We start from the raw sequence: 15,988 nt of genomic DNA on the forward strand, positions 1-15,988 counted from the left end.
TTTTATAAAAATGGGATTACTATAGTCCTGCAGTGGTTTAAGAAGTATGGAATTTTACCTCATTCTTTAAATTTGGGTGGCATTCAGAAAGCCCTTCTAAAACCTTCTAATAAATTGGATCAGCTGAGTTTAGACTTGTAATTTATTTTTTAAAACAAAGAGGGCATATTAAATGAGTAATTTGGAAATACTTCAGATGAATAAATAACATCTCTGCAACTTCCTTTTTCTCCTGATCAGTCCTGTGAGTGACCCTTGATAACTTTTCTTAAAAGCAATATGAGTCAACCAAAGAATAAGATTAATTTTTGAGGATTTGTGATAACCAGAAGAAAGCACTGTAGGCTGTGACAACCTGTGAGGGCCGAGAGAAATACAGGGGAGCCAACTGGTGATCCATATTGGCTTTCATAGAGTGGTAGTATTTTTGTGTCAGCTTGTTACATGCCTGAACCTCTGGATTGCAGCAGTGTTGTCATTGTACCAGCAGTTGCTCAGACTCTAATCAGAGTCTGATTTACCCTCAATAAAGTTCTGTACGCATCAGATTGGAATCATGAAGTTGCTTGTTATTTATGAACCAAGGGAATTTCTCCTTAGGTTTCATAAAAGTCTAATGACCCTGTACAGGTACAGTCCTTTGTGTATTGGTTTCCTGCTGCTGCTGTAACAAGTGACCACAAATGTGTACCTTAAGACAACACAAATTTATTATCTTACGGTTAGGGAGGTCAGAAGTCCACAGTAGGTCTTGCTGGGCTTAAATTAAGGTGTCAGCAGAGCTGCAAGCCTTCTAGAGGCTCTACAGGACAATCTGTTCCCTTGCCTTTTCTAGCTTCTAGAAGCCAGCTGCATTCCCTGGCTCATGGTTCCTTCCTCTTTCTTTACGTCCAGCAGTGTCCGTTTTTTAATCTCTTATTCTGAATGTGACTCTATCTCCTGCTGCCTTCTTTTATTTATAAGGAGGTTTGTAATTATATCGGGCTCACCTGAATAATCCAGGATAATCTTTCCAATTCAAGATCTTCAATTTAATCACATCTGCAAAAGTCCCTTTTGCCATATAGGATGACATATTCACAGGTTCTGGGGATTGGGAAGTAGACATCTTTGTGGGGGCCATTAGTTATTAGTCTGCTTACCACACTTGGTAATGGTAGAATCCTACAGTAGAATTTAACAAAACTTTCAAGAGTAGTGGTCACTTTTCTGTTCTCATCTTAACTAAACCTTCAGCAGCATTCAATAATCATCCACTTCCTGGTTTTTGATTTTTTTTTTTAGCTTCTATGAAACTACACTCCTGGGTCTTTTTTTTTTTTTTTTTGAGATGGAGTCTCGCTCTGTCACCCAGGCTGGAGTGCAATGGTGCGATCTCAGCTTACTGCAACCTCTGCCTCCCAGGTTCAAGCGATTCTCCTGCCTCAGCCTCCTGAGTAGCTGGGACTACAGGCATACACCACCACGCCCAGCTAATTTTTGTATTTTTAGTAGAGACGGGGTTTTGCCATGTTGGCCAGGATGGTCTTGATCTCCTGACCTCGTGATCCACCCGCCTCGGCTTCCCGAAGTGCTGGGATTACAGATGTGAGCCACCGTGCCCGGCAGGGTCTTTTTATACCTTACTGACTCTTGTATTTGCCAGTTCCTCCTTTTTTTTCTTGACTTCAGATCTGGGCTGCACTTTCTAGCTCTGTTGTCTAAAGAAAAATATCTGCTGTTACTCAAGATCTTCTGATAGGTTCTACATCGTTGTTTATATGTTGTCTACCTGGTCTGCCTCTTTGAGCACCAGAGTTTGACAGCATAGTTGAGTGCTCCATCTTAACCTTTCATAAGACTCAGACTTACCTATCGTAAGTCTTGATTTTTTAAATCAAACCTGTTTCCCTCAACCTTTCCCCATTCCACTAACTGGTACTAACTTATACTTACTTGTTCAAACTAAAAGACATGTAAATCCTTGACTGTGTTCTCTCTCATGCCCATGTCTATATGCAAGTCCTGTGGGCTCTTCGAAGCTGTGCTTTGCCTCCTCTCCATTGTTACCACCCTAGGCAGGCTACCTTTATTTCTCAGTTCCTTCATAACTGCTCCCTCTTGCCCCTACTCATTCGTCTGGCTCTTATCCCATCCATACTCCATACAGTAGGAAAGGTAATTGCTTTAGGATTTGAAGAGATGAGGTGATTTCCTTGTTAAGATCTGTAATGGCTTCCCATTATATGAAATTCTTATGATTAGTTGGCTCTTGATACCTTTTGTGACTTTTTCATATTTCCCTTGCTTGCCCTGCTCTAGCCACAGTGGCCTCATTTCTGTCTCAAGTCCTTTTCACTTGATATTTCTGCTACTTGGTTCACTCTTACCTAATGTTTTGCTTGGCTGGATCCTTTCTTTGCATTCAGTTCTCCAGCTGGTCTGTATTCCATCTCTTGTCACTTCTTACTGAGTCCTATTTTATTCATACTTGTTAACGCTATTTGAAATTTTGTTGCATGTTTTTCAGCTTCATTGATAGTCTCCCTTTACCTGGAAAGGTGACTGGTATGTTGTGAGTGCTCAATAGTTGTTGAAACAAGTCCCTCACCAAATCTTTTTAATCTCTCCCAGTAATCCATGTCAGACCAGGAAGACTGTTTTCCAGTTATCTCATATGTAGCAGGCCATCCTCCACTGAAGAGTGAGACATGGCAGGCATGGCAGACATGGCAAGACAAAGCTCTTACCTCTCCAGTGAACCCGTGTACAGCTTCAGCCGGTGTGAGACTGAAGTTACCCAGGAAGAATCCAGCTTTCACTTGCCTTCTCATCCAATTCATCCCCTGGAGTCTCCTCTCTAGGTCCTAATTTCCAGTAGGTCATGGTATCCCAAGTTCCCACCTAATATTAGTAATTTACCTTTTTATGAATCAATTACTTCTCTATTTTAGTGTCATCCAGAGTTTTCTTCCAGGAAGCCAGGATTGAGTGTGGTCATTCAATTCTCTTCAGAATATTTTTCATGTCAGTAAAGTTCAACACATTCTTTATAACGTCTACAAAATAGCATAGATGCACCAAATAGCATATAGATGCACCATAATTTATAACAAATTATAGATTACATTTTTTAGTAGTTGCTCAAATTCCATGGAAGTATTTAGCTGCCTTTTCTTTGAGACCAAGGTTGGGGAAAAATGGATGCAATTTTTCAGAAGGGAGCAACAACAAGATGCATTGAAAAAGCAGACCAATGGAAAATATTTCTCAACTAGCTACCTTGCTTATGCTTTACACCTAGGGGATTAACAACTTAAAAAGAGGTTCTTATTAGGTTACTATATGTTACTGTGCATGTCTGTCTGCTACACTGGGGGGTTACCCATGAAAACATTGTTAAAGCAAGAACATTCTCAGATAAGAGGGGGCCTAGCTTTTCATTGGTTATCTATTTAATATAGAAATGCTTAATTGCAAGTGTGCTATAGTGTCACTTAGACTGAGGTGACTAGATCAGTAGAGTTCTCGGAGGCATCTAACAAATTTACCTTTGGAAACAAGGCCCAAGTATGCGTCTAAATGATAGCTAATGAACAATAATAATACTTTATAGATTGAATCACTTTAATGAGAGAATAGAACATGGTCAAGTGGAAGGTAACTGATTTTAGTTTAAGGACGAGTATGGAAATGATATAAGTGCCTTACGTTAGGTTTTAATGTTAACACGTGTGTCACTTTTTAATCTCTCCCAGTAATCCAATGAGATAGGTAATTGTCTCCGTTGCATATATGGAAAACCTGAATTTCAGAGAGGTTTAATGGTTTGTCTAATAAGTTTAGCTTCCAAGAGATAGTAGGGAATAGTGTGTAGTCTAAGGTTATATATTGTTATATGATTATATATTGCCAGGTTTTAAGCAATCGTCTAGCACTTACAGGCAAATCTCTCTTAGCCTCAGTTTATCTGTACAGGGAGAAAAGAGTTCTCACAGATTTTTTTCAGGAAAAATCTCATAAATATGAAATACCAAATACTTTATGGAAAGGACTTAATTCACAGGAAGCACTTAATATTAGCGAGTATTATATATTGTATCAGTGATTCCCAAGCTTTAGGATTCTGTGGCCAATAGACTTCAAAATGGGGGAGAGGAGATGGAATGGTCGGCTTCTAGCCAACTGAGGCTATTAAAAAAGAAAAAATAATTATCTAACGCCACGATCTTTATAAAACGACATTTTAAAATTCAAATTGGTAGTGAACAACGTAGTCTCAGAATGAAGGAGTGTTCTTTAAATTGAATAAATTTAGCTTCATAAAACACTCAGTATAATTCTTATTTTTTTTTTATTTTACCATGAACTAGGAATTGGATGTTCTATTAGTCTCCCTCCAGTTCTAAAATATTTTGACTCTAATATTCACAATTTTTCATAGTCCTCCCTGCTCCTACACTTTTCTCCATCTGACCTAGAAATGCTGGCTGACAGTTTGTAGTCTAAGTGGTTATTTACCTAATGAACTTGTGAATAATTGCTCTTAGAAATCATAGGAGTAGAGACTATATCAAATGAAATTTGACTGGATAAAACAGTAGGCAGTATAAGAAAAGTAGCAAAGACAGCAATATACACTCATTCATCTAACAAATATTTATAGTCTACTAATTGCCAACTACTGTACTAGATCCTACATATGATGAACCAAACACAAATGATCTATGCCCTTTGGACCTTAAAATTTGTTTTACTCCTATCTCCCAGGACTGGTAGGTTCTTAGAAGCTTCAAGATAAATATTACATATTCCTAGAGCTTTAATTTTAATTAAAGGAGGAGTGAGGGTGGGAGGATAATTAGGTAATTTATTTGGCAGTTTAAAATTTACATTGAAAAACATCAATGAATAGGAATAGCATGCAAAATTTACATGGCTTAAAAAATACAACATGTAATACTTTAAAAGCAATTTTACTCTTGTAAGAGTCAGTTTGGGCTATGGCTCCAGATTGGCATGCATAGTTTATTTTCCTCTGCTTCTCATTGGTGGTTCTTTACGTTTAGTTTGCATAAACATTGTTTGAAGAAATATTAAAATTACAGATTCCAGGGTCCTAGATACTCTGATTGAGTAGGGCTGTGAGGAAGCCCAGAACTGCTTTAGAAAAAGCTCTTGGGTGATTCCCATGTAGTGGTCTATAGCTCTTTCTTTGAGGGGACTTGCCTTAGGGATACTTCAGAAGTTTCATAAGGCAATAAATGTAAAAGGAATCTTCACAAAATGAAATATAGGAACATTTCTCTGTGAAAGAAACTCATTTTTTGCATACTATCCCTGCTGTCTCTCCTAATGTTGCCAAATTAACATACTTTTAAACTGCAGAGATTAATTTGAGATTAATACATTCAACAGGTCCATTTTAGAAAAAGTCCTTGAGAAATTCTTGACTGATACATTGCTAAAACATTGCTTTAAGAGGCTGCCCTAATTCTGATTTTTCAACTAATTTAGGATATCACAATTTAAAAACAAACAAACAAACATTTATGTAATGAATGGTATGGAATCTGGTTTGGAGTTGTGTTTACTTCTAAAAATAGAATTTCATGTATTGCCTTTGTATCTTCTAGAGATGTGAATGATCTCCAGCCAGAGACCACCAGTAACACACCTACAAGTGGACAAAGTTGTGTTTATTGACATTGTAACAAGGGAGAATGCTTGCCATGGGCACCTAATGTGAGGTGTCTCAGTAAGAGGATGTTAGAAACTACATAGGATTTGGGCCTGTCGTAGGTGATTTGGGGAAAGTTCAAGGAAGGATCTGGACTGGATGATGGTAGGAACTGGTGATAGTAGTGCATCTTAATTCTTATCTAAAACATAGGAATGGAGTGAAGCTAGAACTGATTGGTAAAGAAGTCATAATAGCTAGGATAGGGGCTATTTGAACAATATTCATGGTTTTCTATTATCAGACATGATTATGATTATGTTTTTGTTGATTCATTGTGGTCACAATGGCCTTGGCTGATGCTGTGCTGTGAAATTGTATACGTTTAACCAGGGAAAACCATGGTCCAGTTGTGAGTTTCAGGCCAGCTCCAGGCTTTCAGGGCCTGCTTTTCTCTTTTTCAAGGTTAATATAAAAAAGAAAAGTGCTATAGTATGTATGAGTAAGATCTACACACATCCGAAACATTCAACAGTGGCTGTGTGTGGACAAGGCTGAAAGCTCAATGTAGAGGAGTATACAAATATTACTATTCCTATTTAAAACAGCTCAGTAATTACTGTGTGAACTTGACAATAACATTAACAGCTTCCATTTTTTAAGTATCTACTGTATGCCATGTTATGTACTAGGTGCCTTGCATACATTCAACAGCTTTGCAAGGTGAACATATTTTGATCATCTCCACTTTACAGGTAAGTAGACAGACTATTATTTCCAGAACTGCCAAGTTACATTTATTAAATGGAAGAGCTGGTATATTAATGGGTTCAGCTCATTTTGAGCTCACTGTATTTCCCCTATACCAGGATGCCTTTCTATTCAGAACTTTGATGTCTAAAGTTACAGCAATGGAGATAAAATACATTATTGGCAGGATTGTTCAGAGACTCAAATGCTATCATACATCTATATATGATGTATGAAAGCACCTAGCACAATAACTGGCTCATGGTAGACAAATCATAACTAACTGTACTGTTTTCATAGCAGAGGTGCCTCTAAACGTGAGTACAGATAAGTTAACTATATTGAGATTGTGGAGTGACTCGACGATTTTAACCTCTTGGTCACAGAGAAATCAGGCTGAAGCATTTTACCTTTATAGAATCATAGTATTTTGAAGAACCAAGAAATTGTCAAGGTCTTCTTTTACAGATGAGAAAAATGAAGCTCGGAAAAGCAGTTAATTTGCCCAGGGTCACACATTTAATTATTGCCCGAGCTTGGCTAAGAAACCAGGTCTTCTGACTCCTAAGCCCTTGCCTTCTTCAGGCCACATAGCTGCTTCTTTTCATGATGTGTAGATTAGAAAAGTCAGTGTGCCCCGGGGCCCTTGATTGCACCTTGGTTTCCCTAACAAGGATATGGGATCCCTGCTGACATTTCAGACCTTAAGTTGCAGAGCTCTGCACTTGGATCTTCTTCCTTCTTGTTATATAATCTTACAGTTAAAAGTTTCTAGGAATATTTTTATTACGTGCAATTGGCAACTTCAGTATTTTTTAAAGGGTGTTGGTAGCATTATTTCCGGGAGCTACTTAGCGCTCCGGTTCGGTACCTCGTGGAGAAGACGGGGGAGGGGAGCAGCGAGATTTCCTTGCGGAGCAATATTCCTAGGGTACAGACCTCGTAGCCCGGGCCCGCGACTCCGCCCCGGGAGCGGGCAGGGGCGGGGCGAGCGCTCCAGCTGGCGGGAAGGAGGAAGGGCCGGGCGCGGCGCAGAGGCGGGCGCCTACCAGCCGGCAGCTCCGGAGCTGCCCGCGCCATGTCCGCGCACAATCGGGGCACCGAGCTCGGTAAGGGGCCCGCGGGGCTCCCCATCCCCTCTCCCTCGCGTTCAGCGCCGCCGGGACTAGCGCGGGGCCTGCTGCCGCCCAGTGCCCTGGCTGTGGGTCCCCGAGGGGTTTTCGCTGGGGCGGGAAGCAGTGGCGTCTGGTCAGCCCTCACCCCAAGTAAAGGCCGAACCCGGCACGTTCGCGCCGCTTGTCTTTGCACCTAAGCTTTTACTCTTGTATGCGGAAGGAGTAGGAAAGGGTTAGATTATTATCTTCCTGCCTTTTCGTTCACTCTAGCTCGCTGGTTGGAAAACCCAACAACCCAAAAAACAAAACCCAAAACAAACAACCCCCAAGCAGGTAAAAACAGATAAAAACCTTCTTTCTCCTCCTTTTAATAGAATACTTGTGTAATTTAATGCAGTATTTCCGTAGATAATTTTAACCGTAACCTTGAAGTGGCCGTGCTCGTGGAAAAGTTGTCAGCCGTCTGTGCTCAAAATGTAACACTGCAGATTCATGGGATTTTAGAGTTACAAAGATTTGTTAAAGTACCTGTATTATTTCCCAGTTTTCATCTTTTTTTATATTGTTCAAATACTGGCAAGAAACCTTAGTTCAGATTTCTTTTTTTTTTTTTTTTATTGATCATTCTTGGGTGTTTCTCGCAGAGGGGGATTTGGCAGGGTCATAGGACAGTAGTGGAGGGAAGGTCAGCTGATAAACAAGTGAACAAAGGTCTCTGGTTTTCCTAGGCAGAGGACCCTGCGGCCTTCCGCAGTGTTTGTGTCCCTGGGTACTTAAGATTAGGGAGTGGTGATGACTCTTAACGAGCATGCTGCCTTCAAGCATCTGTTTAACAAAGCACATCTTGCACCGCCCTTAATCCATTTAACCCTGAGTGGACACAGCACATGTTTCAGAGAGCACAGGGTTGGGGATAAGGTCACAGATCAACAGGATCCCAAGGCAGAAGAGAATTTTTCTTCAGATTTCTTAACATGTGAAAAATTTATAATTCAAACAGCAAAACCATGATCAAGAGAAGGTTTAAGCGTCTCGTTTAAGTATTATAGCTTGGATATCTGTGTATCCAGGATCTTTAACTTCTTACCTGTGTGACTTCGGACAAATTAATAACTTTGCGCTTAAGTTTCTTCATCTGTAAAATGGTTATTTTAGTGGTAGTTACCTTATAAGGCCGTTAGGAGATTAAATAGGATACATGTAAAGTAGTTTGGTATATTGTGGACACCTAGTAAGTCTTCAGTATAGATAGTATTAGTATATGGAGTTATGGTTTTAGGGGCTAATTTTGAGAAAATTGGCTGTAAATTATATGTAACACATACAGGTAGGTCCTTTTCGCCCTCCTTAAAAGTGACTGGTACTTAAACAGTCTGCACTTCCAAGAGGTGTTCTGGATTTTTTGTCGAATGGTAAGAGAGTAAATCTATCATTTTAAAGACAGTTGATTTACTAACCTGGTTGATTTTGTTTTAGTCACTGTCCTCTAGCTGATTATGTTTTAAACTCTAGTCCTATCTCTGGAACGTGGTCTTTAGTAATAACGGCATTATTTCTTAGATTGGAATATCCTTGAAGGTGGTGGATATGGGGCAGGTTTGGGGTGGTGTCTTACCTGGGTATTCCCAGGAATATGACCATGTGACTATGCATACATCAAGGATGTGCCCTAAATTTCCCAAAACTTAGACATTTTAAATTTTTCTTTCAAAAAACATAATTGAACCATTTTTAAATTTATTTATTTGCAGTAATTAGAATCAATCACTTCCATTCATTTGTTGAAAAGTAATAGACATAAATAATTGCCAGGTAGAACAATAGTAAATGTGGTTTTTATGCAGCTATCGAAATGATCATAGCTTTGTATTTATTATCTTATTTGTTAAAATCAGATTTTTTTCCTTCACGGGTATTAATCCTTAATCCAAACAGGTTTAAACTGAAATGCTAAAATAAGTTATTTGAATTAGGTACTAGGGAAAAAAATCTTTCAGTATTAATTTATGCAGTATATTAACTGATGATTTTTAAAATAGTTTTCTAATTGAAAGTCTTTTTAATAAACATCGTAACTAATTTCTAAAATAAATTAACATTTTTGCTTCCCTTTTCTTATTACAAAAGGAATTCATGGTTATTGTAAAAATTCTAGAAAATACAGTTAGCACAAAAATGTTGTAATATTATTACTAGTCCAATCACTGTTATTTATGATTTGGTGTATGTACTTCTAGTTCATGGACTTAAAAAAACATTGAGTTCCTTTGAGACTAAACCTGACCCTCATGATTAAAAAGTCTTTAAGGAAAACATTGGCATTTGGATGTATGAAAGATGTTTTCCAAATAGGGAATGTACCCTCTAGCTTTCATATTAGAGGATGGGGCCCAGCATTCTGAGTTTTAACAAATCCTGTGGGTAGTACTGAAGCATACCCAAGTTTGAGAACCAATGGCTTAATGATCTCCAAGGTACTATCAAGTTTTGTACCTAGACTATTATGCCCTATATAGTCTATTAAAATGTACAGATATTCTTCTATTTTATTAGATGCCACTTAACTATTGCCTAAAATGCAGGTGTCACGTGGGTAGTGATCTTTCTTTTGTTCACTGATGTGTCCCAAGTACCTAGAATAGTGTTTGGTACACAGAAGGCCCTCAAAAATGTCTTGAGGCTGGGCATGGTGGCTCATGCCTATAGTCCTGGCACTTTGGGAGGCTCAAGGCAGCCGGATCACTTGAGATCAGAAGTTGGAGACCAGCCTGGCCAACATGGCAAAACCCTATCTCTACTAAAAATACAAAAATTAGCTGGGCATAGTGGCGCATGCCTGTAGTCCCAGCTACTTGGGAAGCTGAGGTACGAGAATCGCTTGAACCCAGAGAGTGGAGGTTGCAGTGAGCTGGAATTGTGCCACTGCACTCCATTGGGCAACAGACTGGAGACAGACTGTGTCTCAAAAAAGATAAAAAAAAAAAAAAAAAAAGAAAAAGTCTGTTGAATGAAGGAATGAATTGAGAGCTGCTTCTTACTTGGGGGAACTGGGGAATCTACCTGGTCCCCGTGTATGGTTGCATGGACAGATGCTGTGAAGCTTGGCACCTTCTTCCTCTTTGTAAGTATTATTAAGATTCAGTTTTGTTACATCCGTCTTCAGAGCTATCTCAAGAAGCCTATAAAGGATGTAGATAGTGTAACTTCCTTGCAAATGTTATCTTTGGAGGCGTCTGGAGAATGCGGGTGTTATTAGATGACTTCTAAGGATCTCCCTGCTCTGTCTCTGTGTGTCTGAAAACTCTTCTGTTCAAAAAGCAACATTTCAAAGATATCTGAAAAATAACCATGATGGGATTTTGTATTTTTTTTCGAGACAGAGTCTCCCTCTGTTGCCCAGGCTGGAGTGCGGTGGTGTGATCTTGGCTCACTGCAACCTCCGTCTCCCAGGTTCAAGCAATCCTCCTGCCTCAGCCTCCCGAGTAGCTGAGATTACAGGTGCCTGCCACCAAGCCCGGCTAATATTTTTATATTTTTAGTAGAGACGGGTTTTTGCCATGTTGGCCAGGTTGGTGGGATTTTTTTATTTTAAGAAGCACATTTATTTAGGTAGTTATTGAGTACCAATCTGTACTGGGTAGTATTACCCTAGGCTGGGGGTACAAGATAATCAGGGATGGTCACTGCCTTCACAGAGCTATTAATCGGTCTGGTTCAGGACCTGGACATCAAGCTAGAGCTACAATTAAATGCAAGTGTGATGTGCAATTATTTTTCATTTATTTTTGTCTAAAATTAGATAGATGTACCTAGACTGTGCTTTAAATGGGTTGTGAAAACAGAATGTCCTGGGCCTTTTGCATTATAATTTTTAATTTCCTTTTAAAAGAACCTATGAATTAGGGATTTAGGGAGCTCATTTTTGGCATTCCTGCTAAAGTATAACTTGGGTACAGAATGTTTCTGATTTGGGTGATGGTGATTTTCCACTGCAAAGTTAACGTTTAATTTTTGGAATGGATATTTATTTATTTATTTGTTTATTTATTGTTTCAATAGAGACCGTGTGTCAGTATGTTGACCAGACTGTTCTCAAACTCCTAGCCTCAAGTGATACTCCAGCCTCTGCCTCCCAAAGTGCTAGGATTATAGGCATGAGCCACCGTGCATGGCCTAGAATGGCATCTTAAACCTCAACAATAGGCAAAGGCTATCTGTTTGCATAATAATTCTTCACCTTATTTAATACCTACTGTGTGCAGACACTGTGCTTAGGTGCTGGGTATAATGATAGTGTCAACACAGAGCTCTAGCTACTTGTAAGGCACTATGCTGAATGCTTGAAATTCTCATTTAGTCCACAATGGCCCTGTGAGGGAGATAGCATGATCCAGGTTTACACACGAGCAAACTGAGGTACAGGGAGTTTTAAGTAACCTGCCGAAAACCAGTTAGGTATAGCTAATGTGGCAGAGCCAGAATTCAAGCCCAGGTGATTTGGTGCTAATAATGCTACATGCTTAAACAACCACACTGTGTCGACTGGTGCTAACTGGGAGCACTACACCCTGATGTCAGAAGAGTCAAATAGATAACTGGTGAATACTGTTAATGTTACTCTTTTAGGTTTGATTTGTCTGTTTAAAACATAAAGGTTACTGTTTTATTGCCATAACCCACATCTTAACCATTGCAGTTTGTTTCAGAGAAGATGCAATTTATCCTGAGGGAGAATGGAAAAGTCCAAACTTTGGTAGATTATGAGAGTAGGGTTCGATGTTAGTGAAGTTTTCAAGGATGGCATGTCAAAACCAGACTTCCTCAGGAACTGCTTCATGTGGATATACTGATGAGCCTCAGAGCATCATGTGATGGTGACCAGGGAGTGACCTCAAGGTGAATAGAGTGGGGCTTTTCTTTGTGTGTGTGTTTGTTTTCGTCTCTTGCAGTTTTGTAAAACGTTACCTTTCATACTCCAGTCTTTGGGCTGGCCTCAGCTTCTAGGTTTAAAAACCAATACTGTTTCTTTTTTTTTTTTTTTTTTTTTTGAGACAGAGTCTCACTCTGTCACCCAGGCTGGAGTGCAGTGGCGCCATCTCGGCTCACTGCAACCTCCGCCTCCCGGGTTCAAGTGAGCCTCCAGTCTCAGCCTTCTGAGTAGCTGGGATTACAGGCATGCGCCACCATGCCCAGCTAGTTTTTGTATTTTTAGTAGAGATGGGGTTTCACAGTGTTGGCCAGGCTGGTCTTGAACTCTTGACCTCAGGTGATCCACCTGCCTCGGCCTCCCAAAGTACTGGGATTACAGGCATGAGCCGTCGCACCTGGCACAATCCTGTTTCTTGATGTATTCTTTTAAAAAATGTTTAAAATAAGAGATGGGGTCTTGCTGTGTTGCCTAGGCTGGTCTTGAACTCCTGGGCTCAAGCAGTTCTCCCTCTGTGGCCTCCCAAGTGGCTGGGACTATAGGCTGTAGTCAATGTGCCAGGCTCTTGTTCTTTAGGTTAAAAAAAATTAAGTAGAAATAGTGAAGTATTTGATAATTTTGTTAATTTAGAGTGACTTTTTTGTCCCGAATTTCTACGTCTGGAGTTTCTCTTAGTAGTTTCCTGAAAAATAGAACTGGAATCTCTTTAGCTGTAAACAAGATAAACAGTTTAAGGAATCTATGGGTCACAAGTGAGAAGTGACCTAATACACCTTACAAAGTCCCCATATTTCTTTTATTGAGATAGAGGCCTTTAAATTTTGCCTTTAAGTTAAAAAAGTCAATTCCTAGTGAAAAAACAAAAACAAAAAACTAAAACATAAGGCAGTGTATTCTTCATTAGGTGGCATATGAAAATTTGACTCTAGCTCTTAGCTCAGGTGGTAAGAGAATTTAAAAATTTTTAGATTTCTGCAGGGAATTTCCCAACTGGAGTTAACTTGAGGTTTCTTTAAACAATAAAATTGATTTGTGTAATTTTAAGTTAATGTGGGTTTTATGTCTGAATCTAATTTTTTTCTCTTTAATATTTAATACTTAACATACATATGTTACTTTAGATTTCATAGAGTGCTTTTCTAACATAATCTCTTTTAATTCTCCCAGGAATCCATTGTGCTAGGCATTATCATTCTCATTTCATGGATGAGAAAACTAAGGCTCAGAAAACACAAGTAACTTGCTTATTATACCTCAGAGCTAGTAAGAGTTGAGGTCAAGACTCAAATGCAGAACTTCTGATTACAAGTTTTTTACCCTTTGCTTTACACCAACGGTCCCGGACCTTTTTGGCACCAGGGACTGAAGTGGTTTTGTGGAGGACAGTTTTTCCACAGACTGGGGTAGGGGTGGGTGTTTCAACAAGGTATTTCTGGCTTATCTTATAATTTCCCTTTCCCAGCACCAAAGTCAGCCAGTTCTCCAGGCAGCATTTTTTTCAGTGGATAACGATATGAGAAGCCAAGATCTGAGCACTAGGTATGCTCATTGTGATGGGTGACTCTGTTCCCAAGGCCCTCAGCTGGCAGAGCTGAAAAATGTATGTACTGTATACACACACACTTCTAGATTCATCTACCTATCATCTCTCTGTATCTACATAGTGAAAACCATGAGTTCACACTAATACCACCAGTTCTGGTCCAACACCACAGGATTTATCCCAGTGTTCTCCCTTTCCATATTTGAAACACTCCACATGCTTCCCCTGGCCCCAGCAGATGTTCTTCTCACTGTTCTCAGGCTCTGACCCCTGAGCTGGGCCTCCCTCCTGTGAGTCTGCCTTCCTCATCCCGCTGGTGCTTGGTCCCCCACAGCAGGCTGCTGCCTACACAAATCTCCCTGTTACCTTAGTGTGGGGCTGTGGACCTCTGTGCCCGGCCGCCTCGCCTCCCTCTGCAGGTGGATACCCTCCTTACCCTGCTTGCGCTTCCACTCCCTATGTCTTGCTCCCGCTTTGTGCAGATCCCCTCCTTGTTCTGATTGGACTCTGGGCTACCCCATTCTGTTTGGCCCACTCTGGGCCATAGTGGTGCCCCCATTTCAACCCGGCTTGAATGACTACGTTGTTCACCTCCTCTTCAGTGCCCCACCCCAACGGTTTAGGACAATCGTTTGGGAAGGGGAAGGGGGCCAGAATAATTTGTTTTTTTTAATTTTTAAAATGTAAATATATAAGAATATTTTAAAAACCTTTATGTGGAGTGCCTGCTGTTCCTGGCACTTGTTACTTGCTGCTCATGGTCATGGCAGGGATGCCAAGGTGAGCCTGACTTGGTCTCTGCTTTCCCAGAGCTCACAGGCAACTAAGGGAGATGTTTATGTAAATCACCACATACGGCATGTTAAAACTGACAACAGGAACGTGGTGGGATTGGAAGGATAAAGACGAATTCACAGACAGTCCAGGGAGGGTTTTTTTGGAGAGGATGTTTCTGACGGAGTAGTTTCTACAAAGGGACTAGCAAAAGCAGCCTGGCATGTTTCATTAACTATAGGAACTCAATTTTCAGGTATCTAGTGTAATCTTCTCATTATACTATAATGGCTAAGAGTAATGTTTTCATGAAGAAAGAAAAAAAATCCTTCATAGCCTATGTGTGAAATACATACACAGAGTCAATAATTATGTACATTTTAGATTTTAACTGGGGCATCCTTTTGTGAATGCTAACTACTTTGATTTTACCTTAGAAGTCTTTTACTTTTTGCTTGTAAGCATAAATGATGAGGCTGTCTTTTATTATTGTGATACTATTTGATAAATAGAAAAACTATAAAGTAATAATTTGGGTTTGTTGTATAATTAAATAATTAAAAGTCCTCTGCGGTGCCTGCTAAGTTAAAAAACATTTTTTTTTTTTTAAAAAGCATCTAAGCCCGGTGGATTTTGATTATTAGGAAGGAAGAAAAACTTCAAGCACTTATTTAAAATGGGATGCTTCTGCCAGGAAAGAAAGACTAGTAAATGAGACAGCAGACAGAGCCCTTGAGGATGCGATTTAAACATGTCACCAGAAATTGTTTAAGTGGAGAGCTCTGGCCCTTTTAAAACACTGTCTGTCACTTGAGGATTGGGTCACCTTGAAATGTGTTCATCTTTTGAGTTAAAGGCATAAAAAGGCACTTTGAAATTTTTCAGTTAACTTTGATGTGTGTTGTGTATGTGTCTACGAATGTACTTCTCCTCAGCCTGCCTCAGCTGTAACAGTGAGTTCCCTAGAAACCAAAGTGGTTGCAAGGGAAGGATAAATGTTTAATCTTGGCTCCAGCAAACTATACAGATTTTTTAAATGTTGAGACACTCTGGCTGCAACTTCTGGCTCTCTGTATAGTCAGGCCTTCCTCCCGCAAAGCAAAGTCTAAGACAAGAGTAGCTGCTGGTAGTTATTTCCTAAAAAGGTGCCACTTAACTGGTGTCTTTGTTCTTTTGGAAGGTGGTTAATGATGCTAAGGTCTTTAAAGTCTGGAAAAATA

The 15,988-nt window shown here is 39.8% G+C and overlaps 1 protein-coding gene across 3 annotated transcripts in view, besides 5 other annotated features; it reads left to right on the forward strand.

Moving 5' to 3' along the window:
* Window positions 7,126-7,870: an enhancer, noted in NCBI's record as "H3K27ac hESC enhancer chr12:16063956-16064700 (GRCh37/hg19 assembly coordinates)". NCBI's record gives its function as "activates a minimal SCP1, AML or CMV promoter by ChIP-STARR-seq in naive H9 embryonic stem cells {active_cell/tissue: H9 hESC(naive)}" and the evidence as "EXISTENCE:reporter gene assay evidence [ECO:0000049][PMID:30033119]".
* Window positions 7,294-7,353: a silencer, noted in NCBI's record as "silent region_4281". NCBI's record gives its function as "represses an Ori minimal core promoter by ATAC-STARR-seq in GM12878 lymphoblastoid cells {active_cell/tissue: GM12878}" and the evidence as "EXISTENCE:reporter gene assay evidence [ECO:0000049][PMID:35858748]".
* Window positions 7,374-7,723: a silencer, noted in NCBI's record as "silent region_4282". NCBI's record gives its function as "represses an Ori minimal core promoter by ATAC-STARR-seq in GM12878 lymphoblastoid cells {active_cell/tissue: GM12878}" and the evidence as "EXISTENCE:reporter gene assay evidence [ECO:0000049][PMID:35858748]".
* The window catches only part of DERA (deoxyribose-phosphate aldolase), a 126,050-nt gene continuing 117,497 nt past the window's right edge, over window positions 7,436-15,988 (forward strand). For 2 of the 3 annotated variants that reach the window (NM_015954.4, NM_001300779.2), the window contains exon 1: window positions 7,436-7,518. In NM_015954.4, the coding sequence (NP_057038.2) occupies window positions 7,488-7,518 (31 nt within the window). In that variant the 5' untranslated portion in view covers window positions 7,436-7,487. Of the gene's footprint in view, window positions 12,421-15,988 lie in introns of all 3 variants that reach the window. The other variant, XM_024449001.2, reaches the window with a different exon arrangement.
* Window positions 7,871-8,614: an enhancer, noted in NCBI's record as "OCT4-NANOG-H3K27ac hESC enhancer chr12:16064701-16065444 (GRCh37/hg19 assembly coordinates)". NCBI's record gives its function as "activates a minimal SCP1, AML or CMV promoter by ChIP-STARR-seq in naive H9 embryonic stem cells {active_cell/tissue: H9 hESC(naive)}" and the evidence as "EXISTENCE:reporter gene assay evidence [ECO:0000049][PMID:30033119]".
* Window positions 12,581-12,794: a silencer, noted in NCBI's record as "fragment chr12:16069411-16069624 (GRCh37/hg19 assembly coordinates)". NCBI's record gives its function as "represses an EF-1alpha promoter that drives an FKBP-Casp9 reporter gene in an ReSE screen in K562 erythroleukemia cells {active_cell/tissue: K562}" and the evidence as "EXISTENCE:reporter gene assay evidence [ECO:0000049][PMID:32094911]".

This window comes from Homo sapiens, chromosome 12 (assembly GCF_000001405.40).
Source record: "Homo sapiens chromosome 12, GRCh38.p14 Primary Assembly".
NCBI classification, from domain to species: Eukaryota; Metazoa; Chordata; class Mammalia; order Primates; family Hominidae; genus Homo; species Homo sapiens.